Source organism: Homo sapiens, chromosome 19 (genome assembly GCF_000001405.40).
Source record: "Homo sapiens chromosome 19, GRCh38.p14 Primary Assembly".
NCBI classification, from domain to species: domain Eukaryota; kingdom Metazoa; phylum Chordata; class Mammalia; order Primates; family Hominidae; genus Homo; species Homo sapiens.
The window spans coordinates 39,342,673-39,366,589 of record NC_000019.10 but is presented as its reverse complement, the minus strand read 5'-3'; the positions used below and the strand labels follow the sequence as shown (position 1 = coordinate 39,366,589).

General features: G+C 47.7%; 1 protein-coding gene across 48 annotated transcripts in view; it reads right to left on the bottom strand.

The window, feature by feature from the left end:
• SAMD4B (sterile alpha motif domain containing 4B) overlaps nucleotides 1-23,917 on the bottom strand; it is a 48,344-nt gene that overhangs the window by 24,175 nt on the left and 252 nt on the right. For 6 of the 48 annotated variants that reach the window (NR_169271.1, XM_011527057.3, NM_001384574.2 and 3 more), the window contains exons 2-3: nucleotides 12,524-12,584; nucleotides 9,501-9,901 (exon numbers count right to left, since the gene is read on the bottom strand). Coding sequence is in view for 44 of the 48 variants with exons in the window: in XM_011527057.3 (XP_011525359.1) it covers nucleotides 9,501-9,696 (196 nt within the window). In the remaining 4 variants the exon portion in view is untranslated. Of the gene's footprint in view, nucleotides 1-9,500; nucleotides 9,902-10,689; nucleotides 10,774-11,439; nucleotides 11,691-12,523; nucleotides 22,466-23,917 lie in introns of those variants that run through there. The other 42 variants (NR_169272.1, XM_017026919.2, NM_001384593.1 and 39 more) reach the window with 21 other exon arrangements.

The window sequence follows — 23,917 nt, the reverse complement described above, 5'->3', positions numbered from 1 at the left end:
AAATGAATCTCACACAGTTCCTAACTCCTGGCTATAAAGACTGTGCATTTTCTTGGCCTGGGGCTCTTTGCTCTAAGCTTCCAAGAGAGAACACCTGTTTGTTAGTTTTTGTTTTCTATTTTTCTGAGATGGAGTCTCGCTCTATTGCCCAGGCTGGAGTGCAGTGATCTCAGCTCACTGCAACCTCCGCCTCCGGGTTAAAGTGATTCTCCTGCCTCGGCCTCCCAAGTAGCTGGGATTACAGGCGTGCACCACCATGCCTGGCTATTTTTTTTTGATGGAGTCTCACTTTGTTGCCCAGGCTGGAGTGCAGTGGCACGATCTCGGCTCACTGGAACCTCTGCCTCTGGGGTTCAAGCGATTCTCCTGCCTCAGTCTCCTGAGTAGCTGCGATTACAGCCACATACCATGACACCCGGCTAATTTTTATATTTTTAGTGGAGGGGGCGTTTAACCATGTTGCCCAGACTGGTCTGGAACTCCTGACCTCAGGTGATCCACCTACCTTTCCTCCCAAAGTGCTGGGATTATAGGCGTTAGCCACCGTGTCCTGCCTGTTACTTTTTTCACTATGTTGGCCAAGCTAGTCTCAAATTCCTGCTCTCAAATGACTTGCCCACCTCAGCCTCCCAAAGTGCTAAGATTACAGGCATGAGCCACTGTGCCCAGCCAAGGGAACACCTGTTAAATCCATTCATTCAAAGTCATCAACTCATACTATGTCTACAGCATTGGTTAAAATTAATAGTAGAACCAATACCACTATTGCTGTTGCTACTACTGACAATAGCAATAACATATGGCACTTTCATTCAGAATGAAGGATACTGTTTATTGAGCATTTACTATGTGCCAGACACTATGCTAAAAATGATTGCTTTTCATCCCTGTTTTAATCCTGTTTTGGTGTGCTCATCTTGCAGGTGAGAAAACAGATTTGGGAAGGTGAGGTCACACACCCTAAGTGACAGAGCCCATTAAGCGACACAGCTGAGATCTGAATCCAGGCTCTGTGTGCCTCCATTTTTTTTTTTTGACATGGAGGCTTGCTCTGTTGTTCAAGTTGGAGTGCAGTGGCATGATCTCGGTTCACTGCAACCTCCACCTCCTGGATTCAAGCAATTCTCCTGCCTCAGCCCCCACCAGTAGCTGGGATTACAGGCGCACGCCACCACACCTGGCTAATTTTTATATTTTGAGTAGAGACGGGCTTTTGCCATATTGGCCATGCTAGTATCAAGCTTCTAAACTCAGGTGATCCACCTGCCTCGGCCTCCCAAAGTGCTGGGATTGCAGGTGTGAGCCATGGTGTCCGGCAGGGAGGAACTTTTTTTTTTTTTTTTTTTTACGGAGTCTCGCTCTGTCACCCAGGCTGGAGTGCGGTGGCACGATCTCGGCTCACTGCAAGCTCTGCCTCCTGGGTTCACACCATTCTCCTGCCTCAGCCTCCTGAGTAGCTGGGACTACACACGCCCGCCACCACACCCGGCTAATTTATTTTTTTTTGTATTTTTAGTAGAGATGGGGTTTCACCGTGTTAGCCAGGATGGTCTCGATCTCCTGACCTCGTGATCCACTTGCCTCAGCCTCCCAAAGTGCTGGGATTCCAGGTGTGAGCCACTGCGCCCAGCCAGGGGGGAACTTTTTACCCACAACCTTTTATCTCTCCAATCCCAAGTCTCTCTTCTTCCCTGGATTTCCAGATCCCCTTCAGCATCTGCCACTCAAAGCTAGGAAACCTCATTCCCTTGTCTGTCTTCACTTGAACCGACTGCCAAGATTATGAAGCTGTCCTTCAGGCCATCTCCACATCTAAAGATCATTTTCCAAGGCAGAAAAGGCCTCACTGAAGTCACAGAACTTTTGTCTTTCCTGCCCTCCCAACTCCACCTGGCACTGGATCAAACGATAAGAACTCTGTGGTACCCTGTTTGATAACTTAGTCCTGTAGTTTTCAGTTCTTGATGAGAAAGAAGAAAGACAGTGATTCCCATTAGGGACAGAAAGTCAAGAATGAAAATAAAAAAAAATAAAAATAAGTCAAGGATATGCACCCCAGTCAAAAACACACAGTGGCCTGGGCAGTATGCTTCCTCCTCTGTAAAGTAAGGATTATAAAGCTGCTGAGAAGATGTAGGGAGATGATGCATGAAAAGCATCTGACAGAGTGTACTCATAGTAAACATTCAGTCTGTGGCTCAGTGACGGGTGTTTTCCTCTCTTCTCCAGTAGTCGAGTCAGCCTGCCCCTCCAGCCCTACCCTGACATTCTCAATCGCTGTTGTTTAGGCCTTGCAGCATAGCCAGAGGCATCTGGGACAGAGAGAAGCCTTGTCTAGTCCTTTCCCCACTCCAGAGTACTGCCAGGACCCCAGGGCTAAGGGACACAGCTTCTCTGGTACTGCCAGGGGACATGACAGAACAGCCCCAAGGGTTGGGCTCAATGCAGGACCTTGTTCTGCTGCCGAGAAAGGGGAGAGTGGTTTTGGACAAATGGAGGCTGATTCTGGGGAAATGTGTGTTCATGTGTCTGTGTGGTGGTGGTGGGGAGGGCGGGCCTCCCATGACTGAGAAGCATCAGTGAGCACTGGAACTGGCCCAAGTAATTTGTGCAGCCTCAGGCCCCTTGGGGTGAGCCCAGCTGGGGCTGTAAATAATGGGTGGGGATGGAACTTCTAGTTTCCTGCCCAGATCAGAAAAAGCCTGGCCCAGAGTGGAGGCACAGCAGAGGCCCAACGAATACCTGCACAATTGAACCCAGATGGTCCCCTGGAAGGTAGTGGTGTACTCTGTCTCAGGTCCTAGCAGAGTATACTAAGTAAGAGCACAAGTTCAACAGGCAAACTTGCTGGATTCAAAATCTAGCTCTGCCTCCATGACCTAACTCAATATCATTGTGGGCCAGTCCTTTAACCTCTCTGATCCTTGGTCTCTTCTGTAAATGGGGACTGTAAGGCCTCTACCTCACAGGATTGTTGTAAAGAGTCAATGAGACAATCATGCAAAGCGTCTGGCATGTGGTAAGTGCTCAAGTACATTTTAACTATTATTGTTGTTGCTCCTCGTTGAATCTAGAGCCCATGCTGTTTCAGGGCTGGTGGGAACAGTTCATGTACAAAAGCACATCTGGGCCTTCCCCTTAAGATTCCCGACAGGGGTGGGGAATTTCATACAGTTATTTACCAAAAACAGACACATCTCTGATTCCTTGGAGCTAGAAGTACAACAAGCAATGATGAAATTCTGGAGGTGGGCAGATGGGGGAAGGGGCTGGGGAATGCCAAGACACCAACGGCTGCTTCTCACCAAGCTGCAAACTTGGACTCTGCAAACATGGAGAGGTTGAGGAATGCTGTGCGTATAAATGTCCTCCCTGGCTATAGTGGCAGCAGGGCAGAGCTGGCCAGGTGACTAGAGCTAAGTAGGTCATGACCCTGGGTCCTGGCAAATTACAGGCACCAATCGAGACTGCTCTAAGAGCAAACCCATTTTTATGTACTGGCCTGGTGCAACAATTGGAGTAGCCTCAGGCACCAGTCAGAGGGGCTAGGGTTTGGCTCTAAACATGACCTTCTCTGCCTCACCCCTGCTCACATGGACACAGGGGAGGGCAGGGGGCTCACATTTTTGTTTGATGAACTGTCAAGCAGAGCCTGAAAGTGGAGGGTGGAGGACAGGGCTGAGCTCTGATGACTCACTTGCCATTGCCCCTCCTGACCTCAGTTTCCCCACCCAGACTGAATGAGCCAGAGAGGGAGGAGTTTAAACCTGCTAGATATGGGGACTGACTCAGAATAGGAGGTGGGAAGAAAATGCAGGAAATGTCTCCCAGGAAGCTACAGGACAGTGGAGGGAAGTGGAATTCAGCTCCCCTGACCCCCCTAGTCTCCTTCCTCCTGTCCATAGGAACAGCCTTCTGGTCCAAGTCAGCATCAGAGGAAAGGAGAGGACCAGGGTTATTGTTCTAGCTCCAAAGAGGCAGGGAAGACAGCACCTGGAGAACAAACAGGGATTACAACAAGGGGTAACCTGGGACCTCTTCTTCCCTGTTCCAGAGACCCTTGGAATATTGCTTTTCTGTTTCTAGGTGTTGCGCCTCATGTCCTACTTCCATGAAACTGATGCTGGCTGCCTGTGCTGGAGGACTTCCCTATACCTTCCCAGCTGCCTGAGAGGAAGCGATGACCTAGGCCAGGCTTTCCACAGCTATAAGCCCCGACTCCCCACTTCTAGTAGGTCACACAACAGTATCCTCACCAGCTTCCCGGGCCTACCCAAAATCAGCGTCAGCATCAAGACAAGTGGTTCTCCACTGGGTGCACCCAAGAGTCAACCAGGGAGCTTTAAATCTCCAGGGATAGGACCTGGGCTTCACATTATTTTTAGAAAGGCCCTGGGGGATTCTAACACAAAGCTAGGGACATATTCACCTAGGTCAGCTCTGTGCTACCTGATCTATCTGAGCAGGAAGCAGACAACTGGGCAGCTCTGACCCACACCCAAGGTCTCCCTGGAGAACTGGAGGAAGTACTAAGGTTGGTTCGGTGGGACATGGAGATACAACCCACAAAAAAGCAGGGGATCTACCTCACTGTTCAGCTCTCCAGGTTTGAAGGGACCAAGCTAAAGAAGGGCTTGGAGACAGGCAACTTTTTTTTTTCTTTGAGACGGAGTCTGGCTCTGTCGCCCAGGCTGGAGTGCAGTGGTGCGATCTCGGATCATTGCAAGCTCCTGTGCCTCCTGGGTTCACGCCATTCTCCTGCCTCAGCCTCCTGAGTAGCTGGGACTACAGGCGCCCACCACCATGTCCGGTTAATTTTTTTGTATTTTTAGTAGAGATGGGGTTTCACCGTGTTAGCCAGGATGGTCTCCATCTCCTGACCTCGTGATCCGCCCACCTCGGCCTCCGAAAGTGCTGGGATTACAGGCGTGAGCCACCGCGCCCGGCCGGGAAGACAGGCAACTCTTTTTTTTTTAGATGGAGTCTCACTCTGTTGCCCAGGCTGGAGTACAGTGGCGCAATCTCGGCTCACTGCAAACTCCGCCTCCTGGGTTCACACCATTCTCCTGCCTCAGCCTCCCAAGTAGCTGGGACTACAGGTACCCACTACCACGTCTGGCTAATTTTTTGTATTTTTAGTAGAGACGGGGTTTCACCATTTTAGCCAGGATGGTCTCAATCTCCTGACCTCATGATCCGCCTGCCTCGGCCTCCCAAAGTGCTGGGATTACAGGTGTGAGCCATGGCGCCCGGCCAGGGAACTCTTAACTGGGGACTAGTGAACCAACTGAACTCAAGAGTTGGTTTGTGGAGTAGGTGTGCATCTTTTTGGGGAGGGTGGGGAGGAGGGGAAGATTTTCTAACTGGTCCATCCCGCTAAATATTAAGAACTCTTGCCCTAGAATAATGTGCTGGGCCTCTCCCAAAAGAAAGTAGTATGCTTGGCTGTGGCTCTGTCTTCTTTGGCACATTATTTCAGAGCCCAAGAAGTACCTGGAAAGTACCAGAACAACCCCCTCACTGTCCAAATGGGGATCCTGAGGCCCGAGAGGGTCAGGCAGGACTGACCCAGGTCACAAGAGGTGTTAGTGGAGAGCTGGATCTACAACTCTTGGGTGTCTCATGTCTCACAACAAATGAATCATCCAGCAGGGCATCACCTCTCACACTGCCTGGTGAGCAGAAGAACCTGGGTACTCGTTCCCAGGCCCATACCCTCAGGATTCTGATTTAGTAGGTCTATGGGGGGCAGAAATCTGGATTGTAACAGTCACCTAACCCCAGTGATTCTGATGATGATGCAAGTTTGAGAAACACCAGGGAATGGGAAGGCCATAATAACCAGAGGAGAAACAAGAGTATGAACAGCTCCTTCTTTGAGGCAGGTCTCCAGGCCCAGAAAGTAGCACCTTCCTTTACAAATAAGGCAGGTGGGGTTCTACTTGAGGGTAGGAGTGAAACAGGAGGCACCTGCTTCTTAGTCTTAGAGCCCTCAGGTCTACTAGAAAACAGGCATTCAAGACTCTACCAGAATTTACCTCTGTGATCACTTCTCTTTCAAGTCATGCTTTGCTCCAGTCCTGGCAGGCTTCCTGCTGACTCTGGAACACACCATGGCCTTCCCTCATTCTAAGTTTTCCTTTCCTCTCCACCCATTTAAGTACCAGCTTGTTATTCTCACCATCTGATATGGGGCTATGGATAAAAACCTTGATTCATATATTCATTCATCATTCAATTCATTTCACAGCACTTCTCAACCCTGGCTAGGCATTACCACCAATATCCCACTGCAAACCATCTGGGAACGGGCCTCAGGTTATTTGTATAAAATGCAGCATGTCTTTCAAGGGCAATGTGGTGAGAACAAATATTTTATTTTATTTTTTTATTTTTTTTTTTTTGAGACGGAGTCTTGCTCTGTCGCCCAGGCTGGAGTGCAGTGGTACAATCTTGGCTCACTGCAAGCTCCGCCTCCCGGGTTGACACCATTCTCCTGCCTCAGCCTCCCGAGTAGCTAGGACTACAGGCACCCGCCACGACGCCCGGCTAATTTTTTTGTATTTTTAGTAGAGACGGGGTTTCACCGTGTTAGCCAGGATGGTCTCGATCTCCTGACCTCGTGATCCGCCTGCCTCGGCCTCCCAAAGTGCTGGGATTACAGGCTTGAGCCACCGCGCCTGGCCTGGAGAACAAATATTTTAATTGCATACACCTTTAAACTAGCAGTTCTGCAGAATCTGAGGAGTTCATCCTAGAGATGTTTAAAGGGTACTCATTACATCACTGTTTGTAAGATGAAGACCACATGTACCATGTGGAAGAGTCTATTGGTCAAGAGCTCTAAAGAACTCTGAAGTCAAATTTGAACTCTACCTCTTATCAATTGTGTGACCCACAGCAAGTCATTTAATATCTCCAGACCTACAGTCTCCTCTGTAAAATGGGGGAGTAACAGGGGAGTACAGAGTTGTTGTGAGGTGTAAATAAATACTTAACGAGAAACAGACGTATGTGCTGAATACGGAATGATCTTCAAATCATATTGGTAAGTGAAAAAACCAAACTGGTTAATATGCATGTTTGGCCATATGTATTAAGACAAAACAATGACAAAGTTGGAAGGAAAATATATATGCATTCATATATGCAGGGAATTTATCTCATAAAACATAAGGAAATGAGAACGTGAAGTCTGGAAGAAAAACCTCACTTTCACCTTTTGTACTATCTGATTTTACTGCAAGTTCTGAAAACAAAAGCAAAAACTAAAAGCACTGAAATTACTAAGTACTACTGGTGATTCTGATATACAGCTAAGAGTGGCACCCAGAGGTAATCCAACTGCCTGCTCAGGATGGGACAGTGGGGATGTGTGACGAAGCTGTGTAAGACACTGGCCTGCCCCACAGGAGCCCCCACTATAAAGGCAGAGTCATATCACAAACAGAACTCCTGCCTTTAGTGTTAGAGTGGTGGGGAGTGTGGCAGGGGTGAGAAATGGCTGAGCTCCGAGCCTGCTGCAGCTGAGCTGGGTTCTTATTGCTCTTTGTCTAGGACTAAGAACTTACTGCCAGACTAGGAACTAAGCTGATGTGACCCCTGGCCTGAGTAACCGTCTCCCGCTACAATCATGCTGCTTCTGTGACTTCCACACAAAAACTCAGTAAAATAAGGGTGACTGTTGCTAAGGCAGGTGGGCCTGGGGAGATGAGGGAGGCCAGGCAGCTGTGTGGCTCCCCAAAACCCAATCCTAGCAGTCCATGCTTGTTTCCTGACTTGTAAAATGGGGCTAATGACAGGACCTACCTCATGGGGTTGTTGTGAGGACTAAGTGAGTTATTGACAATTAACAACTGACAGTTATTGTTTACTACATGTCAGGCATGTAGGAAGCCACACGTGTTAATTCACTGAATCCTCACAACTACCCTAGAAGGTAGATATAATTATCATCTTTTTTCTTTCCTTTTCTTTTTTTTTTTTTACTGAGGTTACATACTTCTCAGGATATCATGTTGAATTTAAGATGAGGAAACTGGCTGGGTGCGGTGGCTCATGCCTGTAATCCCAGCACTTTGGGAGGCTGAGGTGGGCAGATCATGAGGTCAGGAGTTTGAGACCAGACTCACCAACATGGTGAAGCCCCGTCTCTACTAAACATACAAAAATTAGCCAGGCGTGGTGGCGCGCAGGAAAGTGAGGCACAGAGAGGTTAAGTTACTTGGTTATATGGCAAGTAACAGAACTGGGATTTAAACTTAGACAGTCTGACTTGAGAGCCACGTAAGAACACTGCTTTTTTTGTTTGTTTGTTTGAGATAGAGTTTCGCTCTCATAGCCCAGGCTGGAGTGCAATGGCACGATTTTGGCTCACTGCAACCTCCGCCTCCCGGGTTCAAGCGATTCTCTTGCCTCAGCCTCCCGAGTAGCTGGGATTACAGGCACCTGCCACCATGCCCAGCTAATTTTTGTACTTTTAATAGACACGGGGTTTTGCCACGTTAGCCAGGCTGGTCTCGAACTCCCGACCTCAGGTGATCTGCCTGCCTCAGCCTCCTAAAGTGCTGGGATTACAGGCGTGAGCCACTGCATCTGGCCAAGAACACTGCTTTTAAAGTTAATATACAAGTAAAGACAGTACTTGGCTTGCTGTAAAGGCTCAATATGAACTATTATTCTGAAGAAGAAGGTGCAAAGAGTTAGGGTGACTAATTTGGACAAACTGCATGGAGCCCCTTGATGCCCTTCCCAGCTAGCTTTCGGGTATCCACTACCCTCCCTCTTCTTTGGCCTCCATCTCTCCCATCTGTCACTGGGGCCAACAGCTCTCCATCCAGCCCTGTGGAGGCCCAGACAGCTAGAGTAGCTTCAGCAGTAGCCCCTGATTCTAGCCTGACTCCTGTCTACAACTGGGGCCTAAGGGACAGGTCTTAAGAGAAGCCTGGCTCACCCATCCCAATGCCAATCTCACAGGACACAGAGTGCCTAATAAGTACTTAGGGAACTGACAGGATGAACTGTATCTAAATTCAAAACTTTCTGGAAGCTGCTTATGCTTTAAGTCCAACCTACCTTTGAGGGTAAAGAATAGTATAGGATGACATGAATTTTGGAAGAGTTCTCAAATTCCCTCCTAGCCCTGATATCCTGAAGCTTAAGAAATTAATTACTGCTCACCTTCTATACGCCTTTCATAATGACTTTAGTCTGTTCCTTTCAGCAGCCCACATAAGCCACTCTACATGATCTTCCTGTTATGGGGAGTTTCCAGTTTGCATTGCCTTCTCCCATAAGTCCACCATACCATGCCTGAGGATTTATGGCAACACAGTCCCAGAAGACCCATGATGACAACTTAGAAGGTAAGGAACTCCCCACCCACCAAGCCTAGAACCCACGTTTTTTAGTCCCATTGTTGGGTTGACCTTCTTAGCCATGTGACATCTGTTCCAGGTCTCCCTCCTGCTGTGCTCCCATCTCTAAGGGTGGAAACTCACCAGCACTGTTGGCCTCCGACTCCAGCAGGTGGATGTCATTGCAGTCCGCCAGTGAGTGCTCCAGGCAGAGCTGCAGGAAGCGGGCCTGGGTACGGGTGACCCGTTTCAGAAGTGACAGGAGGGCCACTGTCTGCTCACACTCATTCCAGCCTTTGAACCAGCCAGCGAGGATGCCCACCTGGTCTCGGAACATCATGGTGCCGGGCCTGGGGCCAGGGTCGGGGGACGGCGGTGGCGAGGGCCAGCGCCGTCACATGGTCCCGGCTCTGGCCTCCTGTTACCTTTCCCCTGAGGGCCAGGGCTTAAGGACGTTTCTGGGCGTGGTGGCAACGGTTGTTGGGGGAGGAGGAAGCCTGCTCACATGGGGGGAGGTCTTGGTCCAGCCACGCCTCTCCAGTTTCCTGAAAAAGGAAGCAAAGGGGTCAAACAGAAAGAAGGGGCTGAAACTTGCCTGGTGAGTGTGGGTTGAGGGGGCATGAAGGCCTCATGCCTTTCTCTTTCAGGGTACTTGCTCTGCTGAGCTCCTGGAAGAAACATGAAGCCAACACCAGATATTAAAGCTACTTTCACCCAAATCTTCAGATCCAGAGAAAAGGCGTGACTGGGACTTAGATGCCTATCCCAGAGACCAAGGAGATGTTGGCCCTCACACCTGGCTGTCATAGTGTCAAAGGAAGCGGATTTAACACAGAAAATATATTGGAAAAATTTTTCAGAAGTGGGAAATAGTAGGCTGCAAATTATGAGAAAAGATATGAATTGATGGCGATCTGGCCCAAGGTGACATGACTAAGCACAGCACATCTCTGACCTTGCTGGTTTCTGGCCACCTTCTCTGAGAGCTGGGCAGTGTGACTCCTAACCTACTGATAGGACTCCAAGGGCTCTTTAAATTACTTCAAGCTAGACCCACAATGCTGGGTAGAGGATGGATGGTCGGGTAGTGACCCTGGTGGAGATCTCAGGTATGCAGCCAGCCATCTGATTAGTAACTGGCTGGGTATCTATCAGGTGTGGGCATGGACAAAGGGCTTTTCAAAGATCACCAACAGGCTGAGGGAATCTCACCCTCTCTAACCCAGCTTCCCTGACTCTGGAAAAGGCACAACTCTGATTTATCAGATTTTACCCATCTCTATTCTGAGGTGAATCGCTCCCTGCCCTCTTAATTCCCCTGAAGACTCCAAACCTAAACTCTCTGGTTGGGAAGTCCCCGACTTCCAGAGATGCCAGCTTGTCTCAGGCTCCTCCTGGAAGCAAAGAAAATGCCAACCTGAGGGGAAGGGGACAGATCAAAAGTCAAAAACTCACAAGCTACAAAGTGTCCAAATTCCCCTCTTAGGCAGGAACTAAAGAAAAGTTATTTCAACTGGGCAAACAACAGACCTATTTTTCAGGTGGTTGGTTTCTGGACACCACTCCGAAGGCTTTTTCTAAGTGTCTCGAGCTCCAGATCTCCACTCAACATTTCTTCCATCTGTCTCTCTTGCAACCAGTGCCCTTGGCTCTATCCTCAAACCACATTCAGCTCCATCCCCCTCTGGCTGCCAAAGGACTAAGGTTCCCCGGACTGAGAACTTCATACAAAGACCCATTGAACCTACTGGGCTCAGGTCTAAGGGAGCTACTCACATCTCTCTGAACTTCCGTGCGCTTGCTGAGGAGGGCTGTGGGGTGCATTAGGCAACAGCTGTGACTTGCCTCACAGATCCCCTGTGGGACCCCTAAACAGACTGAACTGGCCTGGTTGCCAATCCCTTTGGATGTAAGAAGCAGGAAAGGTATGAGGGAAAATGAAACCTTGCTCCAAGTTAAACAAGCGTCCAGCAATTTTTTTTAAAGGGGAAATCAGATGTCACCTCCCTGGCCTAAAATTCTCCAATGACTTCCCATTGCACTTAAATAAAATCTAAATAAGGTCAAGCATGGTGGCTCTCACCTGTAATCCCAGCACTTTGGGAGGCTAAGGCAGGTGGATCACTTGAGGTCAGGAGTTCAAGATCAGACTGGCCAAAGTGGCGAAATCCCGTCTCTACTAAAAATACAAAAATTAGCCGGGCGTGCTACTGCACGCCTGTAATCCCAGTGACTTGGGGGGCTGAGGGACGATAATCGCTTGAAGCTGGGAGGCGGAGGTTGCAGTGAGCTGAGATCATGCCACTGCACTCCAGCCTGGGTGACAGGGAAACTCTGCCTCAGAAAAAAAGAAAAAAAAATTTTAAACAAATTCCAAACATCTTATCTTGAACTACCGAGCCCTATAGGACTCCTGTGGCCACTCCAACCTCATCTTGTACCAAATTATTTCTTATTCAGTGGAACTGTCTTCCCCTAGAAGCTGGCTCCTGTCATTCAGGTCTCAGCTCATTGTCATTTCTTCAGAGAGAGCTTCCCTGACCATCCAATCTCAGGAGTTACTCCTCCAATTATATTAACACTATTTCATTCCTATATAATTTGGCACTCTCAGGTATCATCTTATTTGTTTCTCTCTACTGACCAAAACGCAAGCCATACAGTCAGCCAGTGCCTACAACAGTGCCTGGCACGTAGAAGGTGCTCAATATATATTTATTGAATAAATAAATAGCTATAGAAGGTGAATGTGGAAGCCACACTTGGGATTTCTATAGCCCTAGGGGGGAAGAAGATAGAAGGAACAGCTCATAGGATGGTAAAGGGATTTGAAAACCTTGTTTTAAGAAAAAAAAATTGAAGGCACTGAGATTTTCCTCTGGGGAAGAGAAGACTCAAGGGGAATGGCATAACTGACTTTGAATATCTGAAGAGGTAGCACGCAGAAAAGAAATTATATTTGTTCTTTTACTCTAGAGGAGAAAAGCAGGGTAGATGACTCCAAGGGAGTGACAACATGGGATAGAGGAAATGCTGAAAGTCAAGAAAATTCAGTTCTAGTCCTGCCCAAGCCACTGATTCACTTTGATCACGGAGCTAGTCTGTTCTCTTCTCTAGAATGTAGGATAAGGAGCGGGACTGGGTGAGACATGACAAATAGGTTTTACCTCACAGGCTAACTCCAATCGATTGGTAGTGGCTGCCTGGAGCACTGCGATGAGAAGAATCCTGAAGAAATGAATGGGAATATCCATTAATGGGGAATGATTAATAAACTGGGGCAGATCCCACATTGTATGATATAACGTATCTATTAAAAACATGCCTAATCTGGCCAGGTGTGGTGGCTCACTCCTATAATTCTAGCACTTTGGGAGGCTGAGGCAGGCAGATCACTTGAGGTCAGGAGTTTGAGACCAGCCTGGCCAACATGGCGAAACTCCATCTCTACTAAAAATATAAAAATTAGCCGGGTGTGGTGGCGGGCGCCTGTAGTCCGAGCTACTTGGGAAGCTGAGGCAGGAGAAACGCTTGAACCCGGGAGGTGGAGGCTGCAGTGAGCCGAGATTATGCCACTGCACTCCAGCCTGGGTGACAGAGCGGGATTCCATCTCAAAAAGAAAACAAGAAAACAAAAAAACAAAGCTATATACAATGTTTGATCTGTAACTACTTGGAGGGGTGTCCATAAGCTACACAGTAATATGTACAATATAATGCCATTTTTTAAATTAAAAAAAAGCCACATACAAAACCCCTTATATATCTTATATATGAATATTTATGTCTATATGTGTATAAATGTATAGAAGAATACACCCTCGGCTGCTAACACTATCTTGGAGAAACAGGGGGATTATTAACACTATCTTTATATAACTTTGTACTACTTCACTAGTTGCAAGTGAATACATATTACTTTTGTAATTTTTAAAAAAGAATTTAATTAAAAACAATTTTAAGGCAGCATACTTCCTGACTCAGTGAGAAAGAGTGCTGTGATTAATTATCAATGTTTGCCCTGGATGCAGGGTGGATGAGTGGTAGCTCACGCGCCTAAAAAAATCGGTTTTCCTTCCCAGCTCCAGCATTTTGTGGCTTTCAGTCCCAAAGAGGCAGCAGCTGCTTCAACATAAGGAAGAATTTTAAAATAACGCATCTGTCCAAGAATGGAACTGGCTGCCATGTGAGGAGGTAATAAGCTCCCTGGCTGCTGGAAGTGGTCAAGCGGAGGCTGGATGAACATCCCTCGGGAGTGGGAGGGATTCCTTCACTGGGTGGCAACTCATAAGATAGAAGGACATGTTACTATTTCAGAGGGAACATTTGTGACAGGAGGTTTGATATACCAACAGCATTTACAGCAAAAAAACGACCAAATCCACAAACAGACCAAAGTTGTGCACACTCTTTCCCATAAATTCTTTTACTGGGTTGTTACTTTTCCTAAGCAACAGCACTGTTCCCCCCCTCCACCCACCCAATAAGCTGCTGACTAAACATTAATCCAGCTTTTCCCCCCAGGCCAAACGATAGAAGCAAAGCTTTCGGACATAATAGGGTCTCAAACATGATGCTTACAAGGCCAGGCTTTGAACAAAGCAGGCCAACTGGGACTATGGTGAGTTGGAAAGTCCACACCCGGTCAAAAGGGAGAAGTCACTATCCACCTCTTATCAACTGCTACCATGAAGGAATGTGGGTCCAGTATTGTTACGTCTTAGGTTTTTTTTTTTTTTTTTTTCCCCTAAAGAGGAGCCAGATATCTGAATTTTAAAGTAAAATCCCCCCCTATTTTCAAATGTGGGAAACGAATCACATTGAAACAATAGTGAACAACTACACAGAAGAAGACATACCTGTGGTCCTTGGAACAGAAGAGCACAAACTAGAAAAAGACCAGAAGTCTGCTAACTATCCCTCCCTTGGGCCTCTCTGGTTTATACCTTCAAGCCACCCCACTGCTCAGGGAACATGACTGGTGGAGAAGATCTAGTGATGGAGGATGATTCTGACAGTCTTCAGTAAATACTGGAGGCTTTAGTGAAACAGTTACTTTTAAGATTTCACTGTTAAAAAAAAATCATCCCTGAAGGTAGGGTTCCTATGTCTTCTGGATGAGAGAAGGATGCTTTGTGTTCGGTCTAGATGTTAACTGGAGAGGACTGGATGGCCCTCTTCCATTAAAGGGCCAGAGGCCGCCTGCTACTTTCTATCCCATGTGCTTGGCTGAAGTGACAGAGGGAGACCTGGGTGAGGCATCTCACTGTGGCAGCATCTTACTGTATCCATTTCCATCTTCTAGTATCAACACCCTGGGTTCCCCTTGGAGAAGGAACTGTCTTTCTTGGCTCCAGAAGTGGACATGGGGTAAAGCCTGGCCAAGGATAGTCCTCTCTGGATTTTTGCTGGAACTACTAAGGAAAATAAGTTCTTGGTTAGGGTTGCTCAGATTACACATCGTCTCATGATGTCACCAGTTGCCACCTCTTCTATTTCACGGTGGAAGCCTGCTTCAGAATGAAACTAACAGATGACAGCAAAGTCAAGAGATGGGGGAGGGGGAAAGGGAGATCTGTTCACATGATTTAAAACCTAGATGCAGCTAGCCTGAAGCCTCCCCCTTGTGGCCCACTCTTTTCAGTTACATAGATGAATAAATTCGTTTTTGACTTAGGCCAGTTTGAGTTGGGTTTCAGTTAAAACTGAAAGAGCCTTGACAATTCCCATGCAAAACAGAATGCACTACTGGTCTGGTCTCTTTGTCCTCATGTGACCAAAAATGACTCCTTGCCTTTGAGGAAAAACACAAGAGGGGAGCCTCTATAACAGAAGTCTCTCCAACAGCCCAGCAATATTGCCACCATACTTGAAGAGGTCCAAGTGATCTTCTTGGGAAGCCCCTACCACCTCCAGAGGTGGGAAATGAGGTTAACAAAATGGCTAAGAGGGCTGGGTGCAGTGGCTCACGCCTGTAATCCCAGCACTCTGGGAGGCATGGGCGGGTGGATCGCTTGAGCTCAGGAGCTCGAGACCAGCCTGGGCAACACAGTGAAACCCCGTCTCTACAAAAATTACAAAAAAATTAGCCAGGCGTGGTGGCGTGCACCTGTAACCCCAGCTACTTGGGAGACTGAGGCGGGAGAATCACTTGAGCCCGGGAGGCAGAGGTTGCAGTGAGCCAAGATCGTGCCACTGCACTCCAGCCTGGGCAACAGAGTGAGACCCTGTCTCAAAAAACAAAAACAAAACAAAACAAAAGCCAAAGGTTCCAGATCAGCAGCCTGGGCAACATGGCAAAACCGTTTCTACAAAAAATCCAAAAATTAGCTGGGCGTGGTGGTGTGCACCTGCAGTCCCAGCTACTTTGGGAGGATCACTTGAGTTCTGGAGGTCGAGGCTTCAGTGAGCTGAGATCATGCCACTGCACTCCCACCTGGAGAAAGGCTGGGCACGGTGGCTCACGCCTGTAATCCCAGCACTTTGGGGGGCCGAGACGGGCGGATCACCTGAGGTCAGGAGTTCGAGACCAGCCTGGCCAACACGGTGAAACCCTGTCTCTACTAAAAATACAAAAAATCAGCTGGGCGTGGTGGCAGGCGCCTGTAATCCCAGCTACTCAGGAGGCTGAGGCAGCAGAATCGCTTCAACCTGGGAGGTGGAGGTTGCAGTGAGCTGAGATTGCGCCACTGCACTCCAGCCTGGGGGACTGGAGACTTTGTCTCAAAACAAAAACAAAAACAAAAACAAAAAAATGCTGAGATGTTCCAGGACAAACTGCCCTCTGGGCTTCTTCTCTGGCCCCAAACAGTGAGAAAAGGCCCATATGCCCATAAACAGTGCCTCTGGAGTCCAGCTCTCTTCATTCAGAAGCAGGATGGTGGAGTTAGTCAGACCTGGCTTAAATCCTGGCTCTCCTGTTATACTTACTTGCTGTATTGACTATGACAAGTAACTCTGTTTCTTCCTCAATGAAGCTTGTTAGAAGAATTAAATGAAACAATGTATTTAAAAATACCGCGCATGATGCTTTTTTCCTCCTCTATACTTCATTTCAATAGCAAGCATGATGCTTAGCATGTCTTCATACATCATACATTGTCAGGCCCTTTGCCAACAGCTTTCCACAGATAAGCACATTTGATCCCCAAAACTCTATTTCAAAAATATATAACATACATATATGAATATATTATCATTTTACAGATGGAGCAACTGAGGCACAGAGAAGTTAAGTCACTTTGCCCAAGACTGTACACCAAGCTGAGATTTTCAAGGCCAGGCAGTCTGGCTTCAGAGCTCTTGCTTGCTCTTAACAATGCAAGAAAGCTGGGCATGGTGGCTCACATCTGTAATCCCAGCACTTCGGGAGACTGAGGTGGGCAGATCGCTTGAGCCCAGGAGTTTGAGACCAGCCTGGGCAACAAGGTGAAAGTTGGGCCTAAGGGCCCTTTAATACCAACATCTCTGGATGAATAAGGGGATCCTATCTGCCTTCTTACCCATTCCTAGTTCTTTTTACAGCACGACCTAGGCCTTTGAGAACTTACACTTCATGAACAAGGTAACAGGCTAGTTACCTAGGGTTAACTCACTTTCATAACCTGAGAAGAGACTGTCAGAAGCCAAGGGAGCACAACTTCTCTTATAAGAATCAACCATTATTTCCAGAAACTCCTGAAATACGTACACAAAACATGTACACCACTGCATTAGCAAAGAATGAGCTTTTTGTATGAATGGTGCTGGGGAAGGGAGGGAGAGGAGAGGAGAAGCCAGGCAGGGCCTCCTGGAAGATAAGTACAGTATGGGGAGCTCCGGTAAACTCTGGAATAGAGAGGAAGCTAGCATTCTTCCTCCCACTCCTAAATGTCTTGACACCCCTTCCCCCCGAAAAGTTTATTCTCTGCTTCCTTTCCCTTCTTTACACTTGTTTTCTCTCACTTAGGCATGTAATTAACTCCTGTAGATTCAATCATCACCTCTCTGTGGACAACTGAGACATTTTTTTGAGTCATCTTTGACTTCTTCCATTTCCCAAAGACCCAGTCATTAGGTCTTGATATTTCTTTTTTCTTAATGTCAGCTACACATGCCTTGCTTATCTTTCCCCAAACCTAAGTGGCTCTAGAACCAGACTGCCGGGTTGGAAATATAAGCCTGCCACTTACTACCTGTGTAATTTTGGGCAAGTGATTTCACCTTGCCATGCCTGTTTTGTCATCTGTAATGTGGGTGTAATAATAGTACCTACTGAGAAGGAAGACAGAAAATAATAATAGTGCCTACTCTCATAGAGTTGTGAGGCATAAATGACTTGGCTATTATCATTATTCTAGATTCCTCTCTTTCTCTAATCCCATCATCAAGTCCTGTTTTCTGTACACCCAAAATATATCTGCTTCTCTACATCTTCACTACCACCACCACCACCACATTCATGTCACCATTTCTCATCTGGACAAATGGATTGTCTCCTAACTTTCCTTCCTGATTCTGTCCTGACCCTCTGTTTTCCTCCCAGAAACCAAAGTGAGCTTTCTAAAAAAATTAATCAGATCATGTCGCTGTCTTGCTTTTAAAAACTCCCTTCTAATAGTTTCCCAATCCCCTTAAATGAAAATAGAAACTCCTTACTGTGGCCCTTAGGCTGCAAGTAATCTGGCTTCTGTCAGCCTTTCCAACCCTCACCCCTCTCCCTCACTTAGGCTTTAGCCACACTGGTCCTTGCGATTCCCTGAACATATGGCAGGGCTTTTGCACCTGCTGACCTCTCTGCCTGAAATGCTCTTCCCCGGACCGTCACAAGGTTGGTTCCTTCTCATCAATCAGATCTGGGCTCACCTGTGCCCCATTCTGCCTCATCTGCCCAGTAGGAAGGAGTCTATGATATCATCATCAAGAGATGTTTCTTCAAAGGCTGCAGCTCTTCCAAAAACACCTAGACTGTAAGATCCATGAGAGAAGGGAAGACTGTAGCTATATTATTCATTGCTACATCTCCAATTCCTAGCATAGCACCTGGTACATAGCAGGCCCTCAATAAATATCTGTGATAAATTTCCCCACCTTGCAGAGGTCCTTTTTCTGCATGTAACAATGCTTAGATTAGAATGTTCCACTCCCAGATCTTCCCACAACTGGTGCCTTCTCATCTTTCTGGTTATCAGGCTCAACTGTCACCTCCCAAAAGAGGCCTCTTCTGATCCCCCTGTCTACTACAGTGGCCACTCCCACCCTCTCTTTCACACTGTTTTATTTCCTTCACAGCATGAATCACACTCTGATTTTTTTGTTTCCTCCCCCCATCAGAATATAAATTCCATGAATTTCAGGACCTTGAATGTTTTATTCACTGCTCTGTCTCCAGTACCTAGAATAGTGCCTCCATGCATTAATGAATGAGTGCAGGCTGGAGATATTTGAGACTTGCATACTCCATACACTGCTGTTCTGTAACTTGCCCTGAACCCGCTTCTATTCAACAAGTTTACACTAAAACAAACAAAACAAAACTCCACTCACAGCAATCCTACTTAACTCTCTTCCAAAGTTCTGTGTCTTGGAAACCTTAAACTGTGGTGAGGGTATTGCCATTACTCCTGGATTCTGCTCCCCTGAGGCCACCATCAAGCCAGGCTGATCACCTCATATCACCCGTGATATCCCAAAGCAAAGTGTGGTTGAGTCAGACCAGCCACAAGCTCTCTCTAGACCCAAACAATCACAGAGCAGAGAATGACTGCGGCTGGGGGACAGTGGGGAGGGAGATTGCCATCACTGCTCAGAAAGTTCATCGGATGGAATCACAGGCCTATTTGGCTCAGCAAGCCAGAGACTGAGTTGCAGGGTACAGAACCCAAAATATGTTTCTAAGGATCTTCTGGCATAATCTCACATCTATTCAAGGAAGAAACTATTTTCAAACTGGGACTCTCAAGAAAGAGTTCTCTTTCCACTAAGGCTTTCCAAGGAGGTAGGGTTAAAACCTGGGGCTGCTGAGGACCATATTTGTCATCCAAAGCAGAAGCTTGTTGAGGATGAAGCTAACTCAGTGGAGAAATGGGAGGAGATGACTGAGAAAATTATTTGAACACCTGGATGCAGCTAGGTCTGAAGCCAACCTAGCTCTGGACTTTCCAGTAACAAAAGCCAATTAATCCCCCACTTTTTTCATTAAACCACTTTGAGCTAAGGTTCTATCACTTTATGTTTTTAGAGTTCTGGCTGATATGAGCTTTTTTTTTATTTTATTGTTTTTCTAACATTGCAATTATGGGCAAGACATTGTTCTAAGTACTTTACATGTATTAACTTATTTAATCCTCGTAACAATTCTATGAAGTAAAGTATCATTATTTCCTTCATATTTTTAGCTGTGGAAACTAAAAGACCAGGGAAGTAACTCGTCCTAGGGTACAAAACTGGTGAGTGGTAATGTGGGATACAAATCCTGTCCAGACCCAGGGTCTGCATACCTAACAACTACTGCCCCATTGCAGCCAAACCTATCTTAACTAAAAATCAAACTTTTTGACCCAAGGCACTACCATCTTGGAATGGACAGTGCCCACAGACCCTCTATTAGTCCTACCTGTTCTTAATCTCATCATATGCAAAATGAGGATAATGGTAGTTTACTTACCTCATAGGGTAGGTAAACTCCTACCTCCTATGAATACATGTAAAGCACTTAAACAGTGCCTGGCAGTTAGAAAGCATTCAAAAACCAGTGGTCATTATTATTATTACTCTGTAGGTCACTAAAGTGCAGCTGGCAAATACAATGCAAATGGAGGAAATCTGTCTTCTTTCATCTCTATCTTTTGGGTGAAGAGAAGAGATACCATGGGTGAGAGATGAGGAGGCTTTGTCTTTGACCCATTGCTTAAGCTGTTTCCTCTGCCTGGGGGCACCATCATTGTCCCAACTCCCATGGAACACTATCCAGCCCAAATACCACCTTTTCTGTGAAGTCTTTCCAAATAAAAGGCTCCCTCTCACTGCTGAATTTCTACAGCATATAATTTGTACCTCATTTTCTGCTCTGTACATGCCCAAGCCCCCTACTGGTATTGTGAGCTCCCTGAAGGCAGGCCCCAATATTTACCCTGGGGTCTCTGTTTCCCCTTCTGGGCCCTAGAAACAGAATCCCTTGAAAAAATGCCAAGAGCTCTGTGGAGGCTCCAGACTTAGCAGCTGAGAGGGGCTGCTAAGAGAAGCCAACCAGGACGGGTGAGGCAGGTCACCAGGCAAAGGACTTGGGGTAGCTCAGAATCAGGAAACAGCACAAAGAAAGTCCCTAAGACAGGAGCAAGTAGGGCAGGAGTAAAGGCAAAGGGTGCTGTGTGGAGAAAAAAAAGGGAGGTGAGAGGAGAGGAGGGGGCAGGGAAGGTGTACTAAACCTGAATGAGGAGTGAGATCTGAGGAACTTGGAGATTTCTGGCCAAATGCAGAAGGAAGAGCTGCTTATTCTCCAGTGATTTCCAATAACTTACAAAGAGTAGATCCCACCTTGTGGGATTCAGAGAAGAACAAGACACATCCCGTACTTTCAGAGTTCCTAGTCCAGTGAGGGTGAGTGGACAAGTACATTAAAATCTACAAGGTTGAAGGTGAGTGGTGTTCTAAGAGGTACAATGGAGGTGGAGGGGTCTTGGCAGTAAGACACAGAATGAAAAGACCTCCTGAGGGTGCCTCAAGGGGAGGGTGCCTATGTGAAGAAACAGATGGACAAGAAGAGATGGATATGTGTGTTCAAAGAAGCAGCAATTTAAAGAAGCACCAAAGGCTGGTAGTGGGCTGGAGGGGTAGCCAGAAAGAGAAAGCACTGAGGAAGATCTGAAAAGAAACCATTCAAAAGTAGAATCGGAAATAACTGCTCAGAGGATGGAGTAACCTTGTGGAGAAGCCAAGATCCTTTCAAGGTAGGTAAGAAATCTTTCTGGAGGATGGGTACTTCATAAAGGGGATTCCTAGGAAACAGGAAAGCAGCAGTGGGCAGTAGGGCACAGAGGCATACCCTGAGGCATCTTTCAGGGGGCTTTTAGTGAGGAAAAGGAAATCCTCCTAAAGGGCACAGGTTCTCAAACTTGCGTGTGCATCAAAATGACCAGGAGGGTTTGTTAAAAACTCTTGATTGCTGGGCCCTGCTCCCAGGTTTTCAGTTTCAGTAGATCTGAGTGGGATTCAAGAATGTGTATTTCTAACAAATGTGGCTGCTGCTGGGCCAGGAACCACACTGAGAACCACTGCTATAGGGGAAGGGATTATTTGGTGAGGAGGTCCTCAAAGGGGAGAAGGAAGAAGGCTTCTGAAAGGGAAATGGGGAGAATCCTAAGTCTCTAAGGAGGGTGTTAAGGGTCTCTTGATCTCTGAAGGGAAGAGGGGTCTATGAGCATGGCACCTAAGAAAAATGGTCTGAAAGAAAGATCTCGGAGCACTGGGATTTCAAGGGGGCGGGGAAAGGTGTCTCTCAAGAATCTTTACAAGGAAACATAGAGGCTCTTGGGCAACGAGTCTGGAGAATGTTGGGGACCTCTGAAGGGATAATGGGAAAAGGGGGCCCCCTGAGAAAGGTCTCTGAGTTGACTTCAGAGGAAAGAGAATGGGGAAATGAGAGGGTGTAAATAGCAATTCTAAAGTTAGTGGGTAAATCTGATAGGGTCCTAAATAATGTTTCTTGGGGATGTCAGAAGTGGAATCTGAGGGAAAGTTCTGAGGAAGTCTCAGGAAGCGCTGGGAGTGGGTGGCTGATGGAGGGCAATTTGGGAGAAAATTCTCTAAAAAGTGTCTGAGGAAGGTGTGGTCTTCTGAGACTGGTCCTGGAGTGGGATGACAGAGGGATGTTTTTAGGAAAAACTCTTCAGAGATCTCAGTTGAGGAGAAAGCTGAGTAAAGTCTCCAAAAGAGTATATGGGGAAGGCGGGGTCTTCTGAGAGAGTGTCAGAGGAGAGGGTTTTTCAGAAAGAATTATAGGACTTTCTCAGAGCAAGAGCTCGGGTTATTTTGGGGGAAAATTAGGTGTGTGTGAGGGTCTTCTTCAAGGGATTCTAGAGGATTTAGGGGACCTGTGTGAGCAAGTTCAGGGAGGGATATCTCTAGAAAAGTCCCTTAGTAAGGCAGAAGTATTGATTCAAGGGGTTCTGGTGGTGTCAGGAAGGTCTTGGAGGGATTTCAAGAACATACGTCAGGAGGGCTCCAGGGGGTCGCTGGGGTCTCTAAGCTGTGTGTGTGTGTGGGGGGGGGGGGTCCTGAAAACCTGCATATCAGAGGGGTCACCAAGAGAATCTTACGGTCTTACAGGGGTTGTGAGGAGGATCTTCAGAAAATTCCTCTAAAACCGGTCTGCAAGGGGGGATTCTGAGGTGTTAGTGAAGGGGAGTTCTACGGGATCTGAGAGAAAAACCATGAGGAAAGTTTTCAGGATCCTTAAACAATTTTTGGAGCGTGTGATGTGGGGGACTGGAAAAGATGTGGAGTATGTAAAAGGGATTTTGGAAGAAGCTTTTGGAATATGATGCTGAGAGTCCTCTGGAGATTTCAGGCAATTGCTGGAGATTTTTAGAATGAGTGGGGGTGGGGAAGGGGATCCCGGTGAAGATCACTGGGCTACATGAGGGTGATCTCTAGGGCATTTTAGGGTGGTGAGACCAGGGGGAGACAGGAGGCCTCTGGGGGAGACTTTTGGGATCTGTGGAAAGGTCCAGAGGGATACGTGAAGGGGGAGTGTGTATGAGAGATGGTTGCAATACGGTGGGGAGGGGGATGGAGTCTTCTAGGTGAGTTTTTGGGATCTGGGGGCATTTCACAAAGTCTGTGAGGAAGATTTATTTTGGGGATATGGGAAGGAGATCTTCAGGGAAGATGATCACGGTCCGTCGGGGGCATTCTGAAGGACTTCTGGGAGGGGGAATCAGAAATGCAGGGGGTATGAGCGGAAAATCTCCAAGGAGGTTTCTGGAATGGGGTAAGTGGGAGGGAAAATTCTTAGGATCCGGGAGGGGGAAGTCGGGTGAGCCTGTTGGGCTGTGAGAGGCAGGGCTCCGGGGGAGAGTTCTGGAATGGACAGGGGTCCGGAGGGAGCCTTGGGGAGGTGTGCAGGGCTCGTGAGGGAGGCTCCTGGAGCAGCTATGAGAGCCACGCTGTGGAATGGACGAGGAGTGGCCTCCGAGGACTATTTCTGGAGACAGGAGGAGGACGGGGGCTTCGGGGCCAAAGGGCGGGGGTCTGCGAGGAAAGCTGCTGGGACCCATGAAGGGCTCGAGGAGGCGACTCCACGGGAGGGGTGGGTTTTGCGGGGACCTTTCAGGGCGCACACGGGGGATCGGCAGGCTTTCCGGGGCTCTCCGAGGGGGATGTGCGGGGGGTCCTGAGGAGAGGCCCCCGGCCCGGCCCCTCGGCAATCCCGAGGGCATGAGAAAGATTTCGGAGGGAAGCTTCGGCCAGGGCCCAGGAGGGAGACTGGGGACGGGCGCGGGGCTTCTCCCGTGGGGCCCGGCCCCCCGAGGCCCGCGTTCCGCACCCGCCCGCCGCCGCCGCCCGCGGTTCGGGGTCCCTGA